The following is a 20,528-nucleotide window of genomic DNA, read 5'->3' on the forward strand; positions in this document are numbered from 1 at the left end:
TATTAAGATAAAAATCTGACAGAAAAATATTCAAAAATTCCCCCCAATGTGACACTCTTCACTGTGTTATCTGATCTGTCAGGACACTGTCACTATACTGTACTGGCTTTAATGAAGTTTCTGGAAAATTCTAGAGATAACAGGAGTTCCTTGATGAGCTCAGTCATTGTAGCTCATTTTTAGTTCATGTCCACAGATTCAAAATCAATACAAACTACGAAGTATCTTATGCACATTTTTATACAAGACGGAGATTACAAAAACTGGCTGAGTATTAATCAAAGCTAAAGATGCCTGCCAACTGCTGTATTTTTAGGGTGAGAAATTAATGATTATGATTTGACAAGGAGAAAACTGGCAAAGACTTCCGATATCATTTGGATCTCTGTCCCTGCTGAAATCTTATGTTGAATTGTAATCCGCGATGCTGGAGGTAGGGCCTGGTGGGAGGTGTTTGAGTCATGGGGTCATATCCCTCAATGCTTGATGCTGTCTTTGTAAGTTCTCCCAAGATCTGGTCATATAACAGTGTGTCTCCCCCGCACCCAATGCCACTTGCTTCTGCTTTTGCCATGTAACATGCCTGCTCCCCTTTCACCTTCCACCATGATTGAAAGCTTCTTGAGTTCTCCCTGGAAGGCAAGCTTGATGCCAGCACTATACTTCCTGTAAAGCCTGCAGAACCAGAAGCCAATTTAACCTCTTTTCTTTATACATTACCTAGTCTCAGTTACTTTTTTTATTGCAATTCGAGAACAGCCTAATACAAGTTTAACAGTAATGCCTAATGAACTAATAGAAAGATACTTTGGTGGAAATGTGAAGCTTGTTCTTTAAAAGAATGGCATATATTAAAATCTAGATTAATTTTTAAGACCACCTATGTAGTTACTCAAACTAAACAAGGCTACAAAGTTTGAGAGCTCCGTTCAAAGGGAATGTATTAAATATATTAGGCAAATAGCATAGCCAATGGTGAGTTGCAAGATTTTTAAAAATGCAATCTCACATCTAATAAATACATCTACTCTTTCTTTAAGTATTAAAATACAAGATTTAGGTAAAGCAAAGATTTATTAATGGTCAAAAAATATGTGACTCAGGAATAACCAACAGAAATCTTTGTTTAGTAGAAAAAAAACTTACAAGTCTGGTTATAAACTGAAGGTAGTGGGGGGAAAGAGAACATTTCTGATAGATGTAAATGGTTGTACATAACTTCTATATCTGTCTCTAAAGAAACAACCATTGCTTCAAATGCACATGGAGCCTCCAAATACATGGATGTTCAATAGGTTGATACTGTTCAACACATCACTAGTTTTAGTTAAACCATTGTGCTGTAGGCTCCAGTCTGCTGTTTAACTCAAAAAGTAAATTTTTCATTTCAGATATTGCATTATTTAGCATTATTTAGTTCTAAAATTGGTACGTAGTTCTTTTTTATGTTCTAATTGTCTGCTAAGATTATTATCCATTCCCTCATTCTGATAACTTTACTTGTAAGTCCTTGAAAATACATATAACAACTATTTTCTGGAGATCTTATCTGCTAATTCCAACATCTGAGTCATCTTGTGTTTGTTTCTTCTGACCTATTTTACTATTGTTGGTTATGGCTTATATTTTCCTTCTTTTTGTGAGTGCTAATTTTTTATTGTATGCTTTATATTGTAACTAATGTACTTTAGAGAGCCCAGTTTATTGTCTTCCTTTGAAGGATATTAAATTGTATTTTAGAAGGCAGGCAGTTAAAATACTTGTAAATCATGTGATCTTTTTGGGCTTTTTTTTTTTCTATAGGGCCTATTTCAGTTTTTCCCTTAAATCATAGAGTTAACACTAAGACATGGCACATTTCTGGACTTTCAGCTGAATTGCCAAGATGCTCTCTACATTCTGACTGGGTCACAATTTCAATGTATTTTAGCACCATGTGACTTCTTACATGTCCATTTGAGTCTTAGTCATGCAGCAGAGTCACTCTCTGCTAGGCTTTCTGTAGTACCAACTTGTGATATAATAAACTAGTCCTAAGACAAGTGTCCCTAGGAAATCATCATGAAACTTCAGTCATGCCCCAGAAAGACATCACTCTCCTTTCTGATACTTAAATTATCAAAGTTTTGAAGTCTGAAATTCTCTTCTTCAGGTTATATTGACCATGTTCTGCAAGGGCTTCACTTACCCTGGTTATTATCTGGAAAATGATTCCAGTGAAGAGCATGAGGGAGTGTGGGGCTCACTTAATTTGCTTCTCTTCTCTCAAACATCAGAGTTTTGCATTGTCTGTAATAAAATGCTTACAAATATGTATTTCAGATATTTTGTCAGTTCTATAGTTGTTAACCATGGAAGCAAAATTTTAATATGCTTATTACATATATGTAATATGATATGCCTAATATTCATATTACAATTATGCTTCTATGGTTAACAACAACAAATGGCACTTACTGCACCATAGCCAGAACTTTTTAAAAATGTATTTATTTAGTAATCATTGAATTAACCTTATTAAATAAGTAGGCCTTTACATTATAATATTCAAAAATTTAAAAATCTAAAACTATATGAAAAATTTATTATATAAAACTTCTAATAAAAATACCACATTAAAAATAAAAGTCCAGGAAAATGTTAAACCAATGGAATGTCAGGATGATAGTCTTAAGTAAAGACTATATGAGTATATAAGGATATATTCCAAGCTAAAGAGAGGGAAATTTCAAAGATATTTCCAAGGTTTCTAGCTTGTGCAACTAGAGTTTTCATAGTGAGATTTCTTCAGTGAGCAATTTTAAAAGAGAAATACATGTTTGTTATTGTTTCTTGACATTGTCATGTGTGGATATAATTATTTAAATTCCCAGAATTACTGCAGCCTTTTTGCTACAAAACTCAGTGAGGGTCAAAGTCAAGAAAATCTGAAGAACACCCAAAGTCCTAATATACAATGTATCCAACTTTTTATTTTGATTTTTGGTTTTTTAACATCATAAGGTTTATTGCTTGCAGCTGAAAACATTTTTGCCTGATAAGAATTCTCTAGTCATTGACTCCATTGTGCCCACCAGACCGGGAACTATAGGTCTGCCCCAATACCCAGTTCTGTCTGGATTAACTCATGTTTGATAAGTATTCTCTCCAGAAGATAATTACATACATAATCAAGGCTGCAAACTAATAAGTAACTTTAATGATATAATAATTTGTAATGAGTTCTTGCAAACAAATTCACCCAAGCAAAGACTGCTTATCTGTGAAAAACTGCTAATCTATGAAGACATTTTTTATCAAGATTTATCTCAAGGCCCCCATCTCACTTTTTCCAACAATCCTCCTCTCTAATGTCACAAACGTTGTGCAGTCCCTATGAGTTTCCCACATTGAATGAGCCAGCTTAAACAATATAAGCCTAAACTTCAAAGCTTGATAAATACCCTTCGGTCCATTTAGTCCTTTTGAGATATTACCAATAATTAATCAAAGTGATGTTTTCCCTTGTTTCAGTAAATTAAATACACTCAAGTTTAATTAATCAGTAGGTTTCTCTGGTGGTATTTCAGGGGGCAAATAGTCTTAGAGGACCCACTGAGATAAAGCCAAGGATCCTCAGTACTGCAGCAAAATCTCTCACCATGTAAATAGTATACTGATCAGGATACCATTGAATTTACAAATTTAGGGTCTCTCAAACTGCAAAGTTGAGTTTCCACATTAAGTCTGAGCTCTGATTACTTTTTTTAGCCTCCATTTTAAGGGATTCTTAGATTATTTTATCAGACTTGAAAATAATTTTTCTTGGTATTAATTTTTCTTGTAACTATGGAAGTTAGTACCTTTTCTGTTTGCCCCTCTGTCTTTGTATCTGTTGTGAGTCTATAAGAGTAAATCCCAGAGTGGAAGAGATACGTAGTTCTGATAAATGCATCTCTGGAACTAATCTCAGAGACTAACTGGTAATAGTCTCTTCTAGACCTTTCATTATTGTATAGGGACATCTACCAAAATTTATGACAACTTTCCTCAGTCTTATCTTGTTTTGTGAAAGTCTAGTTAAAGGAAATATCTCATCTGAAAATTTCTTGTCTATCAGGAGTTGCAGATTGATTGGGTCTGCAACACAAAATGGCCAGTCCTCAGGTGGCAACCCCACATATAAAATGAATAAAAAATTTGACTGAATGTTTCCAGATTCTCATGGGTTTATCTCAGCCTAAGGACACACTTTGTTCAGCACAAACTCCTGCTTTTTTGTGCTATAAACATCACTTTTGTGCTTATGTTTATAAATGGTATAATTTCACCAAGAATAATTTACAATTATAGTTGTCACTTTAGATAACTTTAATAGAAAGGAAATTGAAGCAAAAGGTGAGCAAACTTCCAAACATTCAATAGTCTGAAATTTTTGTATGAAAAAACTTCCAAAAGAAATCAAGATTCCATAATTTTATCCTGAAGTGATTCATTGGCCAAGGCAAATTTAAAAAATACAAAACTTAAATCTCTTTCTCTGTGTATGCATTAAGGAAAGGCCACATGAGCACACGGTGAGAAGCTGAAAATCTGCGAGCCACAAGGAGTGCCTTTACCAGGAACTGAATTGGTGACACTTTGATTGAGGTTTCTCAAACTCCAGGACTGTGAGAATACATTTCTGTTTAAGCTCTCTAGTCTAGTGTTTTGCTACGGCAGCCCAAGATGATTATTAATGTGCTTTGCTACTCTCCTTTTATTACCATAAGGGGAAAGTTAATATTAGCTTTTGTTTGTAAACTATGTTCTAAAGAAACTTATTAGAAACTTTTCTAGAAAACACAAGTCTAATCTCTTTTGCTCTTAGGTCATACCTTAAGACTGAAATAGAAAAATTTCAAATTCTACCACCAAACTAGAAGTCCATTCAACCATAGATAATTATTGCTTTTCAGAAGCACACGTCAGCAGGAATGGTAACTTCATTGCATCCATCAGAGCTTGCCAGTTGGCTAGTGATAGAAGAATCAATACATAAATTGGTAGCAACATGCTATTGTGGCAGTACCTAATTTTGGAATGCTTTGGAAACAATGAGGGTTCTTGACATTACCTAGGAAACCCAATTTAAATCGTTAACAATTAAATAGTTTTTTTCTTAGAATCTTCTTAGGAAGCTATAGAGCACTTTGCAAAGTGCTCTATAGCTTCCTAAGAAGATAGCTAGTATAAAAGTAGGAACACATGTATAAAAGGAAAATAGAAGGCTAAAGGAAATGCCCAAGCTGATCAGCATGACAGGCAGGCAGTTGTTCCTAACATCCTGTCTCCCACTACATCTGAGAAGACCAAAACTTTGGAAAAGTTCAAAGAGGCTATATAGAGTGCTAGTGATCTAGACTCAGGAAAAAAAAAAAAAAAAAAAAAGATTTTTTGAACAGTCTGATTGCAATTTACATGATGATAATTTCTGGCACTTTCAAAATAGCTGCTGAATAGTACCAAAGTAACTCAAAAGAAATCATCCAAAATTTTAAATAAAATTGCCTACCAAATAAAGTACAAATTGGACAATAGGCTCAATGAATATTGGTGGGGAATGTTATAAAATTTGCTGAGTAAGTTTCTGGTGCCTGACTCACCCATCACTAGTATAATCTTGCAAAAATGATAAAAATAAGGCACTAACAAGATACCAATATCCTAGGCCTCTTTAAAATTTCCAAAATGTTTCATAAGACTAACCCTAAATAGTTTTGAATACATCTCTGTCATTGTCTGCTGAGCCTTAGGATAGAGTGAAAATTTTCCTTGCCAGAAAGCTACCTAGCAAACCTCCGCATTCTGATCATAGAAATAAATAAATAAATAAATAAATAAAAGCTTAAATGTGTGTTTTACCGAGATGGTTATTAACAGCTTTGTAATAACTTTGTAATAACAAACTCAGAAATTTCACTTTCTTATCACCCTCAATCACTGCAAAATGTATGAGAATTGAATTGTCAAACTAAAATCAGCAAAGCTTGGAGACACTCAAACTTCCATTTCATAAAGTAAAGCCATGGGCTTTAACAACCAAATCAACTTCTGGGATTAATTGGCTGTTTCCTCATGGTTAAAGAATAGGCCAACTCAACACAAACATGGATGAATACTGAAAAACAATACATTACCTATATTGATATTGTTTATACCAATACCATACAAGCAATATACCATATCTGATCATCAACTTTTCTTCAATATCCTCCCAAACAACTCTTACATGATCTAAAGCCTGAAGATCTAGTCTTCTAGAAGAGATACAGATAAATACAGCTCTTGAAACACAGTTGGAAGGACCACGTCAGGTAATGTCAACTAGTAGGATATCAGTAAAACTCCAGAAACTTAATCCTTGGGTTCCTAATTTTCAATAAAAGAAACATAAGCCATCCTCAGATTACTGGAAAACTATCTCAATCAGACATCTCAAGCTGAAGATTTTAGTGATTTCTCAGGAGCAGATCATCTTTGGAAAGGAGATAATGTCAAAAAAAAAGTCCTACAGAATTAGATTGACATGAATGGGGCCAAAGATTACCAGGTTTCAAGTAACATGCATATGTTCTCTATTTTTACAGCTTTTTTTTTTTTTTTTTTGTCTTTTTATTGATTTAATGTCCTGGACTACAGATTCTCTTACAATTGACTAAAGCACATAAAACCAAACCAAATAATAGATTTATACTTCCTTTCTTTTAGAATTTACCTAAAAGAACGTTGGTATAAATCTCTCTTCAGTACAAAGTTCATTTTAATAAATGAGTTTACTTCTTAGGTAATTGCATGTACCTCAAATGTGATTTTCTATGTAAAATATACAACAATAGGCCAGACATGTCATACCAGAAAAGAGAGGTTGCTATCTCCACTGAAATAATACTTGAGCCTTTGAAACTTTGTAGACCTTAAAACTGAAGTTTCGCAGAAATAGAGATTAGAAAGTAACCTTGGAAAATGGTGTCATTGTGGAAGTTGTCTTACTTTACAGACCATGTGAAGAATTTCTCCCAATTTAAACTCAATCTCATGTTCTTTTGCTTCAACCTACCTGGTTGGTAATCTCTGTACTATTAGTCTCATTACTTGTGTGCCAGCACACTCCTCGGTGACAACCAATCTACATAATATGATTCATCAATCCCATTGGAATATTTTGGCTGAAATTAGATGATTGTGTGTCTTCACCATCACTACCATTAACTGGTATTAGCTTTTTTCCACAAAAGTCTATCATTCCACAAAAGCCTATCGGTTAAACTCTGCAAGAAGATCAGTAATTTCTTCTCTCAATAAATTAACGTGTGCATTCAATTTCTTATTTCACTTAGAGTTTGCTTTATCTCATCAACTTTCTGCTCCTAGCAAAAGAGGCCTTAAGATAATTTAAAGAAGAGAAAAATTTGTTCTCTATTTGAAACTCTGAAACATACCCCCTTGAAAAGAAATTTGGTGTTAACTTCTTCAGTATTCTATGTCCTTTATTTAATGCTTACAGTAAGTCTGAAAATTGGAAAAAATAATTTTATGTGAGATTTGCATGGGAGGCATTTCACTAAGAGCATAAATTTTCCTGTCCTTGAAACTTGTGACCTTGAATAGGTTGTATTTCAAAAGAGAGGAGTCCTAAATATAATAGCAGTCTTTGAAGGTAAAAATACAGGTGTTCTTCGGTGAAGAATGCTGTACGTAATTCCCAGACACTTCCTGGTATTATTAATATTACTAAAATATTGAAATAGTAAACAAAGACTTCAGGAAAATAGGTAACTTGACTAACACCCCTATATTGTTTTTCTCTGAGTTACTCATATTGGGAACTGATTTCATTTTCTTGGGTGAATGTGGACATGCTAGTCTACTAACTGAAAGTACAAAGCAAACTGTGACAATAATAATCTTTTTCTTAGTCTCTGTCTGTATTATTTAGCTTTATTTCATTTTTTTGGGCAAATGTGGACATGCTAGTCTACTAACTGAAAGTACAAAGCAAACTATAATAATAATAATAGTCCCTTTCTTAGAACCTGTCTGTATTATTTAGTTTGGACTGCAATAACAAAAGGTTAGGTAAATCAATTGGCAGAAATTTGTTTTCTGACCATTCTGGAGGCTGGTAAGTCCAAGGTCAAGGTGCTGGCAGATTTGGTTATTTGTGAGGGCCCTCTTTTTGTCTTGTAGACAGCCACCTTCTCACTGTGTCCTCACATGGCCTTTCCTGGGTGCACGCTCATGAATAGAGAAAGATCTCTTCCTCTTCTTATTAAAGCACTAATCCCATCATAAGGACCCACACTCATGACCTAATATAAACCTAATTACTTTCCAAAGGTCCCACCTTCTAATACCATCACCTTGGGTGTTAGGGTTTCAGCATACGAATTTTGAGGGAACACAAACATTCAGACTGCAGCAGTTACAATTTTCAAAATGCTTTTGCCCAGAAGTTGTCCTATGAAATGATCCAATGAATGACTATTGAGAGAGAAAAATGACAGCGAGAGAGAGATAGAAATAGAGAAGATAGAAAAATCTCGATAATATTAAAGATTAAAACAGCTGCTTTCTAAAACATGATCCTTAATGATAATTCTTCAGTCCTGCACCTCATTATCAAAGACCAGTAGCAGTAATGAAATAAGACCAATAGCCCACTGCTTGTACCTTCTATTTTCTTTAGCATTAGTTAATCCTAAGTACTACCCTTCCCAATTCCACAGTGTTCTGGTGGAGCTGTCATTCACTGTGCCACAAAACAAGCCAATCAATATCTCTCCCTCCATAGAATTTTAATCTCAATCATCATGGCAAAAAGACAGGAAGGCTTTCAGCTTCTCTTTCCAACATGAATATGGAAACTAGTCATCAGCTCCTGACTTGCAATCTGGGTTATCCTGACTACTATACAGGTTTTCCAAACTTTTAAAAACAAAATTCTTTGTAATCCTTAGTGTCTGATAATAAATTTGTTATAATTTAGCTTGAGTCAAATTCTGTTACTTATGAAAGGCTCCTCATTGATTTCGTATTAGCATGTGTGCACCAACATATGCTCATTCTCGAAGCCTTTCTGTGCTCTGAATTAATTTCTGAAAAAGAAAAGGGAAACAGTTCCAAGCTGCATTAGGCTTAGTGAATTGTATCAGCAGCTGTAGACCAAAGGGTTCTCTTTAATATTCTAGCAGCATACAGAAAGCTGCTGCAAAAGGCTCCAGGTTTTCAGCCACACCCCAAAACCTAGAATGATAATACCAGTCACAGTATCATTTTCAAATGCAAAGGGGACAAAATCTTTTATTATTAATGTCTTTCCCATATCCTATTCTTAAAGAAAATCTATGATTAGAAATTCCTGTCAGACTAAATCCTAACCTGATCAACTCCTCACGCTCTAAAGCTGCACCCAGCAATAAATGAAGATAGAAAATGACTGACTCAACAGAGCCCTCATAGACCATCAGAGCTATGAATATTAATTCCATAAGGAAACTTGGAGGAAGGGAACAAAGTCAAGGATTAGCAATGGAGAGAAAAACCAGGTCTGGGGAACTGGCTAAGGAGGCTAACCACTTAAATTATCAATTTACAAAAGCAAGGACAATAAACATTAAGAAGGCTTTAGGCCAGCTATTTAAATAGAATTATTCTTTTTAAACCCTTTCTCAGTCTACAACCTTCTCTAACTACTTCTAAACATAATCACGACTAATATATGAGCCAGTGCAGTTAATGCTTGTTAAAAGCATGAGTATAGATTAGTGCTATGTCTTCACTTTATGCTTCTTATCTTTCAACCGCCTGGTTCTTTTTATGTCTGGCCTAACGTTTTTCAAACTTTGGGCCGCAGGGTCTGTGCTAATTTACATAAGGGTATGAAGAAAAAACACTTCATAAAAATGTCATGTAGAAATTGAAAGACTTCTATGAAATGCACTAGTTAAATTTGGTGATAGATTCCTTTTACAGGCCATCTGGTTTAATTCTGCAAAATGTAATATGGTCTTCATGGAAATAAAAAAAAGAAATATAAATGCCAAAGGGGATTGTTTTTTAATTGGAAAACATAAAAAGTTGACAGATTTTGAAGAGTTCCCTATAAAAAGATCCCTTAATGTTTTTTATTAACTGTTTTGTTTACATTGAAGTATATAAATGATTGCACATATGACTAAGTAGAAAACTACTTATAGATGTTATAGCTAATCTGACTTTAATATCTTTTTTTTTTTTTTTTGAGATGGAGTCTGGCTCTGTTGCCCAGGCTGGAGTGCAGTGGCACAATCTCGGCTCACTGCAAGCTTCACCTCCTGGGTTCACGCCATTCTCCTGCCTCAGCCTCCCAAGTAGCTGGGACTACAGGTGCCTGCCACCATGCCCGGCTAATTTTTTTGTATTTTTAGTAGAGACGGGGTTTCACTGTGTTAGCCAGGATGGTCTCGATCTCCTGACTTCCTGATACGCCTGCCTTGGCCTCCCAAAGTGCTGGGATTGCAGGTGCTATTTTCTTAATCAGAATTATGAAGGGTAATTTAGTTCCTACTATCTTCCCATTTCAAAGCAATTAATGAATGTCATACTAAAAATGTTTAAGAACAAAGTTGTCTACCTTAGAAAGCTTCAAAAATGTATAACTTATTTCTGTGCTTTTCGCATCTGACAGTCAAGTAAATAGGTTATTAAATCTATTGTAATCTATTAAGTCTAACAGAAACAGAACAATAGTAAGAACTAGTAAGTTCCACTGCTTACTAGTTCTTTCTTCTGAGACCTTCTAGTACTTTTCTTCTGAGACCTTGTTTCTCAGGATTCTAAGCAGTAGGATATACATTCAATACAACATTATTTAAACCACTTATTTGCATATTCCTATCACCAAATAATATATGGGAAAGAAACAGCATCCTAAGATAACCAGAAAAGTCCATTTTATTTGACTGAATTTTTGCACTTATTTCCTTTGTGACTTACTCTCTTAAAGTATTTCTATTTCATTGTTTATAATAGTAAACAACAGGCAAGCAAGGAAAAAAACAGTTACAGCTTTGGCTAAATATTTCCCTGAACAGGTTCATGTAAAAATGGCTTATTTATGTAGCTTGTATGAGAGGGGAAATTTCTTATAAGGGACAATGTGGTTCTTAATGATTTTTGACATAGCTCCATTTAATCTAGTAAATAATAAAAGACAATGCATTGGATGTTATTTTATTTTATTGTTTCTTTGAAAACATGAACTCTTATCATCATAATGCTATAGTTTTTGATACAAGATAAATTTTCATATTGTTCAGTCATAAAATATTAGACAGCACAAAATTGCCTGACTTCCATTAGCAGATATGTTTTTAACCAGAATCAGCTCATTTCAGCTAATTTATTTCACCATCATCCCTGACAAAGACTATCTTTTTCTTCAAACTAAATTAGGTTCCTCTAAGCACTCTTCTCAATTAGGCCTGTTTTCAGTAAATATCGCTACATCAGTTTAGCAAGAACACCTACCCTTGATTTCTGATCACTTGGGCCTGCCTTCAATAAGAATCCCCTTATCCTTGATGTTTCCTCTTAATAATTTGCCATCCTCTAATTTCCTCACTCTACTCCTTGGCTATGAATCTCCAGCTGTCTTTGCTGTATTTGGAGCTGGACTCACTCTCTCTTCCCTATTACAGTAGAATTGACTTCTATTGCAATATTCCTGATTGGAGTCTTCTTTACTGTTTTAATGTGTCAGAATAATTTTTTTCTTTAATACCATAGATGTCTGTTTTTCTCTTCTAATGAATAGTTGGATTATTGATATCACTTAAAGTTCATCTGAGAAAAGGAGGCATTGGTTCTCACAGTTGTTAAGTAGTAAACCCTCCTCTCCTGATATTTTAGCTTAGGATAAGAATTTGAGACTATTTTACCAAAAATTTAGAGATATCAAATATATGACTCAATTAATCTAGCATAGGATTATTAGGCAGGCTTGAATGCCTAGATAATAAATGGATAGTAAATGCCAGTGGAGAGTGTTGATAGTCAAAATATAAACCAATCACATACAAAGAAATCAGCAGTCACCTGATACAGATACTATGAACCAGAGAACTAAAGAGACTGAAATGCACCTTTCTTAAAAAATGGAGGGTAGGGAAGTAAATTAAAAGTGTCATTTCTTGTACCACAGACATTTCCCTCTTTATTTCTTCCCACCTATCTTTTACACATACTCATAAGTATCCCCCACCACCACAACCCCTCAAATGAATCTCTCAGTCCTCTAGTTTCAGTCATTTCTCTTCCCATTCACATACAAGACTCATGAAAGAAACATTCCCAGTTTTTACTTTTTCACCACTTTTTTACTCTTTATCTCAAACCACTGGACTCTGTGTCCTGCCACCATTAATTCACTGAAATTGTTCTTACCAAATTCAATAGTTCTTCCTTCTAAATTCACTGAATATTTTTGAGTTTTTTTTTTAATTTTATTATTATTATACTTTAAGTTTTTGTTTTTATCTACTTTCTATCTCATTTTACAACACTGACAACTCTTTTATTTTAGAAATGTTCTTTTGGCATATATCGACATTGGTTCTTTTTATTGTATTCTAGTCATGGCTTTTTAATCTCCTTTGCAACTACTTCCTTCTGGGCTTACCCCTTAAATAGCCCAAGTGTCAGCTACCAGCCTCCTTCTTTAGCTACCAGCCTCCTTCTTTTCTCATTGTGTGCACTTTCTGTGAGTATCCTCCATCGTCCTGCATGACTTCTAACTACCATCATTAAGCTGACAACACTCATATCTTTTTTCAACAGGTCTTATATCACACCTGAAAATCAAAACCATGTATCTAACTCTCTGTTGATGTAGTTACCTTTCAAATTCACCTACCAAAGACAGCCATGTTTCAAATTCAACATATCCCAGTGTAGTTGATTATCCATAGGGAATAGTTACCTTAGTTACCCAGGGAGAGTCCTACAACTATAGCACCTCTGGCTTTCAATAACGAAAAGCAGCCACTGCCTATCTGAAGAAAGAGAAAAAGATGGAGAAATAAACATGAATTCAGGAAAATAAATGTCTAAACTTTACTTTCGCCCGCTGATTTTTTACTAGTGCTTGCCATTGGCTAAATCTAACTGGGATCCAGAGGGCAAGATAGCTTGCTGATGCAATCTCTAAAGTTAAAGCCTCCCCAGGCACAAAGCAGAATGAAGCAGAGTGCAGGTGGGTCTGAAGAATCAATCAGGAAGTATCTAGCAGAGTGCAGTACTTTTACCTGTTGTTATCTATTCTTGTCATTTGTCTGAATAAACACTTCTACCTCTGCAAAAAGAAAGCATGGCCTGGGCAGCTGCTGCCCTGTCAACCTCGTGCTCCATAAAGTAAAATGGGCACGGCCAGGCGTGGTGGCTCACGGCTGTAATCCCAGCACTTTGGGAGGCCAAGGCAGGCAGATCATGAGGTCAGGAGATCAAGACCACCCTGGCTAACACGGTGAAACACCGTCTCTACTAAAACAAACAAACAAACAAAAAAACCAAAAAATTAGCCGGGCGTGATGGTGGGCGCCTGTAGTCCCAGCTACTTGGGAGGCTGAGGCAGAGAATGGCGTGAACCCAGGAGGCGGAGCTTGCAGTGAGCCGAGATCGCGCCACCGCACTCTAGCCTGGGCAACAGAGCAAGACTCCATCTCAAAAAAAAAAAACCAAAAAACAACAACAACAAAAAAAACCAAAAAAGGTAAAATGGGGACACACAAAGTCTGTTATCACCAGTCCTCCCTTGACAGCACTTTGAAAAGTACACCATGATGTCATTTTGAATTTTGGGGGATTAGCAGGAGATCAGAACCAGTATCTGTTTTCCTCCTGAAAGTCTCCTCATTTCCCTTTCTGCAGTGCACAGTCACCCTAGTGAATGAAACACACACACACACACACACACACACACACACACACAGACACACACACTCCTTGGTTTTGTTGCATGGTCCTTACTCAAAGTACTCTGTTCTTCCAGTTGTTCAAAGGGCTTCAAGTCTGTGAACAGACACACAAAAACTCAGCAAAAATCCTTGAATTTCCACTATGGAGACTCAAGTTAGGCGTCTGTCTACCAAATAAATGTACCAATACTTCCATCAAGATGGAGCGTAATTCTCCTCCTGTTGGTTATAGGATGTATTTAGTGACTCCATTTGTAATGAAAAAAAATGTAGCAGAACTGATAAAGTATAACTTCTGAGACTAGGTCATAAAAGGCATTTCGGTTTCCTCCTTGCCGACTTTCTCAGATCATTCCTTCTAGGGAAGTCAGCTGCCATGTCATGACAGAAACTCAGGCAACCTATAGAGAGTTCCATGTGTCAAGAAACTGAGGCCTTCTGTCAATAGTCATGTAGGCAAGCTATGTGGGAAGTGGATTCTCCAGCCTCATTCAGGCCTTCAGATGAATGCATTCCTGGCTGACATGTTCACAGCAACTTCATGAGAGACCTGGAAACCAGAGACATGCAGACAAGTTGCTCCTACATTTCTGACCCTCAAAAATTATGAATTAATAAACGTGTTATTTTAAGCTGCTAAATATTAGGGTAATTTGTAATGTATGTAGCAAAATATAATCAATATATCTATATAAGTCAACTATCATTGCTCCTTTCTGGGGATCTCAGGATCAATTTGTCAGTGCCAAAAAATCCCAACAAATCAAAATAGTCTACTATTCTGTTCCTATGGCTTATTTTGATAACTGTATTGTCTCCATCTATTTTTATCCCTATAGGTCTCATTATTTCCATTAAGATCAGGGCATCCCCCACAGTCAACTCTAGCTTACCAGGACAGCCACCATGGTACTCATCAAGGACCCTTCATGACTGCTTTTTATAATAGCCTAGCAAAGAGAGTATCCTCTGGTCCTTACTGAAGAGAATACTGAAGGAGTAGTTAAACAATTTGCTCATAATCCATTCAAAAATTATCATCTTCCTAATCTTTCAGATTATTTTTCCAGCATGACAGTGGAACATCTAGCATTTTACCCTCATTAACTATGAGACCATCAATCAGTCCAGGCATCAATTAATCAATTCAGTGGATTATTAATACAACTTCCAACAGCTCAAGCTACTGTGTTAAGTCCTGAATCCCAGGTGAGTGTACCCATGAATTTGACTCCATCTAATCTAATATATCAGTCTTCCTTCATCTACTTCCCATAGAATTCATCACTATATACATTGCTTATATTAGTTTTGTAAGGTTGCTGTAACAAAGTATCAAAAACTGAGTGGCTTAAAATAACAGAAATTCATTTTCGCACAGCTATAAAATCTAAAAGTCCAAAATCAAGGTATAGGCAGAGCACATTCTCTCTGATGGCTCTACGGGAAAGTGCTTTCTTGCATATCAGTTTCTGGGATTTGCTTGCAATTCTTAGTGTTCCTTGGCCTTTAGATGCATCATGCCAGTTTTGTGGCCACCTTCTCTCTCTGTGTCTTCACTTTATCTTCCCTCTGTGCATGGTTGGCTTTTTTGGTTCAAATTTCCTCTTTTTATAAGGATATCCAGTTATATTATATTAGGGCTCACTCTAACAACTTCATTTTATCTTGACTACTTCTATGAAGACCCAATTTCCAAATATGATAACATTTTGAGATACTGAGGGTTAGAACTTCAACATATCTTTTTTGGGGTTGGGTCACAATAAATCCATAACAGTCTCCAGCCTCCTTCCAATACAAAATTATAAAGTCCCATGTCTTTTTTCACTGTATCTGAAATCTTCCCAGGCAATGCCTTCCCCTACAATTCTGGCGCTCTGCTTTTTTCTATCCTGGGGTTTAATTCTCTTGGACCTGGAGGAGGTGAAGATTGCGTTCTGAGAAAAAGTGGCATCCTCCTGTGAGACAAATTCCATAGCTAAGACTTCAAGGAAAGAGAGGAGTAGATTGCTCTATCTATTAGCAAGAAAAATTCAAGGAGATTTTGAATTCCAAACTTCTCAGCCAATTCTGTGATGGCCCACACATTCCTTTCCCAGGTAGCGTGCACAGTTTAAACTTCCGTCAGCAGTGCCTGAGTTTCTGTTACTTTACTCCCTAAAACTACGCATTGCCCTTGTTTAATCTGAATCATTTTGGTAAACTTGCAGTGGTTTCCCATTGTGACTTTAATTTGTATTTTCTTGATGTCTAATGAAATTTGATGAGTTTTCTTATCTTTTTGACCACATGAATATTCTCTTTTATTCCTTTTATTTTAAATAAAAGAATAAAAGAATATTCTTTTATTTAAAGTTCTTGCCAGTATTTTTATTTAGTAATTTCTGACTTTCTCACACTAATTTTAGAAGTTCTTAATATGCATTTGAAATGTAATTTCTTACATGGTGGCGTAAATTTTCACTTTCTAAATGGTATCTTTGGATATACAGAGTCTCTCTTTTAATCTCAGTCTAATTTGTAAATTTTTTTAGTGTTTATTACTTTTTATAAAGTGTTAAATAAGTTTTTACCTGTATCAAGGTCATTAAGCATATTCTATATTGTATTCTGATAAATTTATTATTTTTTGCCCTGAAGACTATTTGTTTAGGGGAGGGTGTGAAATGAAGTTATTTTTTAATAAATTAATGTACTGCTTTATATGAAATTACTTAGACTTATCCTTAGTTGTTTGCTATTTTCTGTGGTTATTATAAAAAGTATTTTAAATTTTTTTTCTAAAAAAAAAAAATCCAACAGTCTCATGAAAATGATGAGAAAACACAGGTAGAGTTTACTTCAAGGAAGTTATTGAAGGCCATACAACCACTTAATATAGTGTATCCAAGAATCACTCCCAAGTATTCTAATTCTTCCTTTGCATAGTTTTTTTTTTTCATTACTATGTCATATCTGAAATATTATTTTAAATTTTTCCATATCAGATTTATACTGGTATATATGAACCATAACTCAATGATTCTTAATCCTGACTCTGACCAGTGCCCTATCCTGCTGTGGCTGAGCTGGTATCCAAGATGCAAGGCAGAGCCCTCTCCACTGTTCCCTCTCCTCTCCTTAAGTGGAAGGAAGGAGTCTCTTCTAGAGCCACCAGCCGTGCAGCCTGGGGTTAGGGGAGGGGTGATGCCAGCACTTCCTTAGCCACCCAGATGGTGTTTCAGTAGGCAGCATGCCTTGCCAGCCCAGTCTTTGGGGCTGGTTCAGCACTAGGACTTGCCTAAGAGTTGTAGCCCTTATGGCTTAAACTGCCTTTCAAGTTTACTTAGAGACAAAGAGAATTGTAGCCTTCGGTGACAAGGTTTGAGGGTACTCAAGTCAGGATCACTGGGAACAAGCAATTCTCCTCTGGCTAGGGCTGTTTTAAATGCTCCCTCCATGAAAGGTCATCAGCTGAGTTTGGGGTGATTTTCCTTGCTGCTCTAACAAGATAACACTGAGTTAAATGCCTTCCCCAGTGAACAAAGAGACTCTCCACACCATACTGCTGCTGTCAGGGATGAGAGTGGAGGGAGTTGTCGCCAGGGGATTGGGGGCACTGGGTGGCTTGGGGTCGAGGTCAGTGGAGCCTCCTATCCCTCCATCTTGCTCCACCTCCCCTCTCTCTTTTTTTACTTACTTTCTTTCTTTTCCATTGATTACTTCTTATTAATTTTTTCCATTGTGAGCTTGGTATGTACTGTTTAAAACTTATTTTAATGATTTTCTTTGCAATTTTAGCCTGCATCCTCGAATAATCAAAATCTAATATGAACTGATAATTTACTTTCTTTCTGAATAATTTAAGGAATACTAAAACACTTTAACCCAGTTCACCTCCTTTTGAATTATTTGACATTATTTCCATGCTTTATTCTATGTATGTCTAAAATTCAACAAGATATTTTGCCATTTATTTACTCAATATTTCTTTAGATTTACTCATTTCATTTTATTCCTTCTTGTATTTCTAAAATTTCATCTTTTTCATTTTTTTCTTTTTAATTTTTGTGAGTACGTAGCTAAGTGTATATATTTATAAGGTACATGGATGTTTTTCAAATCAATAAAAATAAAGCCACTGTATGATCCAGCAATCCTACTGCTGGGTATATACCCAAAAGAAAGGAAATCAGTATATCAAAGAGATATCTGCACTTCCATGTTTTTTGAACTTTTATCTTGATTATGTTTCTTCTGCCTGAAGAACCTTTCTTTGTATTTTTTGCTTAATATGTCTAATGGTGATAAAGTTTCTCATTTTCTCTTATCTGAAATTAATATTAATTCAATTAATTCCTGAGATATTTGTGATGTTTTTGAAGATAATATGATTTACTTTTCCCTCTGCGGTTGCTTTTAATCATTTCTGTTTATCTTTTTTTCTCAGCAATTTTAATGTGTGTGGTAGGCAGCATCCTAAGAAGACCCTATTGTTCCTAGTCCTTGATGTACAAACACATTCTCTCTTTTAGTCAATTAAACACTCAGCCAGGACTCCTGTGAGGGATTTTACAATTGTAATTTAGATATCCTATTAGTTGATTTCTTATTTGTTGATTATATTAGTTATAAATTAGTTGACTGGTTCGTAGGGAGTTTATCCAGGTAGCTCTGACCTAATCATGTGCACACCTTAAAAGCAGAGTGTTCTCCAGCTGGTAGCAACAGGAAGTCAGAGATTTTAAAACACCAGAAAGGTTTGATGCACTATTGCTTCCTTAAAAATGGAGGAGGCCATGTGACAAGAAATATGGGTGGCCTTCGGAGAGCACCTCCCAGCTGGCAGCCAGCAAGAAAACAAAGACCTCATTCAGTCCTGCTATCACAAGAAAACCAACAAAAAGAATGAGCTAAAGAACTTATTTCCCTAGAGCCCTCAGACAAACACCCAGCACAGTAGACACCTTGATTCCCATCGCCTTGTGATGCTCAGATTAGAGAACCCAACTACACAGAACTGTGAGCTAGGAAATAGTTATGATTTTAAGCTGGCAAATTTGTGATGCCACAATAGAAAGGCAATACAGTATAATGTTCCTACCTTAGGTTTCCTCTTCTTTTTTTCTTTTTTTTTTTCTTTTAGATGGAGTCTCCCTCTGTTGCCCAGGCTAGAGTGCAGTGACACAATCTCTGTTAACTGCAACTTCCGCTTCCCGGGTTCAAACGATTCTCTTGCCTCAGCCTCCTGAGTAGCTGGGATTACAGGCGCGCATGACCACGCCAGGCTAATTTTTGTATTTTTAATAGAGACAGGGTTTCACCATGTTGGTCAGATTGGTCTTGAACTCCTGAACTCATAATCCGCCTGCCTCAGGCTCCCAAAGTGCTGGGATTACAGGTGTGAGCCACCATGCCCGGCTCATTAGGTTTCCTTATAATTTTTCTGCTTAGAATTTATTGAGGTTGCTGTATCTGAAGTACAATATCTTTCGATGGTTTTAAGAAGACTATCAGACATTATTTTTTCACATGTTATTTATTCTGCCTACTTTTTTTATTTTTCTCATTTTCAGGATAATATATAATAGATCTTTACCTTGTATCTTCTGTGTCTTTTTTCCCCCTTCTAATTTTAAAACCTTTTTTCCCGCTACTTTATTCTCAATAGTTTCTTTTGACTTATTTCATTTCCATATATACAATCTTCTGTTTAATCAACACATTTGATTCTTTGAGTAATGAATTTGTCAACTTTAGAATTTCTACCTTTATATATTTCCAGTTTTATGCTTATATTCTTATTCTTATCTTTTATTCTAATAAGCACAGTAAATTAAGTTACCTGAAGTTTATGTGAGGTGTCCAATGTCTCTTCCCCTGTGTATTTGGCTCAATTGTTAGTGGTTTTTATTATCTAATGTTTACTGTTTTATGTGATTTTTGTTTTGATTTGGTTTGGTTTTGCCCTCTTGTCTCTTTGTGGGTCTAGTAATTTTTGTATGTGTCCAACATTTGTTTTTAAATATTTGTAGAAATAATTTTGAGAACTAGAATCATATTATCTTTTTCCATAGCATATTTTTGTGTGTTTTCTTGAGGAACCTATTAACGCCTATAATTTAGTATTATCTTTGTCTGAAATCATAGATTTATATGTTCAAACATGAGCTCTAGGTTACAGAAAACCTATTCTGGTTGACCCTTACTCTCAGATTACAGTGTTTTAAGTTCTCATCCTAAAGCAAGGCAGATCCACCAGCCATTCCTTCACCTTTAATAACACCTGGACATCAATTTCTGTCACTTTAGTTTTTCAAAATCCTCAAAACAGCCTCTCAGGCTCTTGCCTGCTGAATTACTCACTCCAGCAACTGTAACAAAACCCTCAAATCTGGGTTAAACTTCCTGGTTCTTTCCCTTTCACCCAATTTGGATCCAGTATTTTTTGCTATTTATTAGTTTACCAATGCTATCAGATGACCTTAGTAATTGTATTTGTCAGGATTCTCTAGAGAAACAAAATAAGTAGGATGTAGAGAGATAGAAATTTATTACAAGGAATTGGTTCAT

Source organism: Homo sapiens, chromosome 14, assembly GCF_000001405.40.
Source record: "Homo sapiens chromosome 14, GRCh38.p14 Primary Assembly".
Classification (NCBI taxonomy): Eukaryota; Metazoa; Chordata; class Mammalia; order Primates; family Hominidae; genus Homo; species Homo sapiens.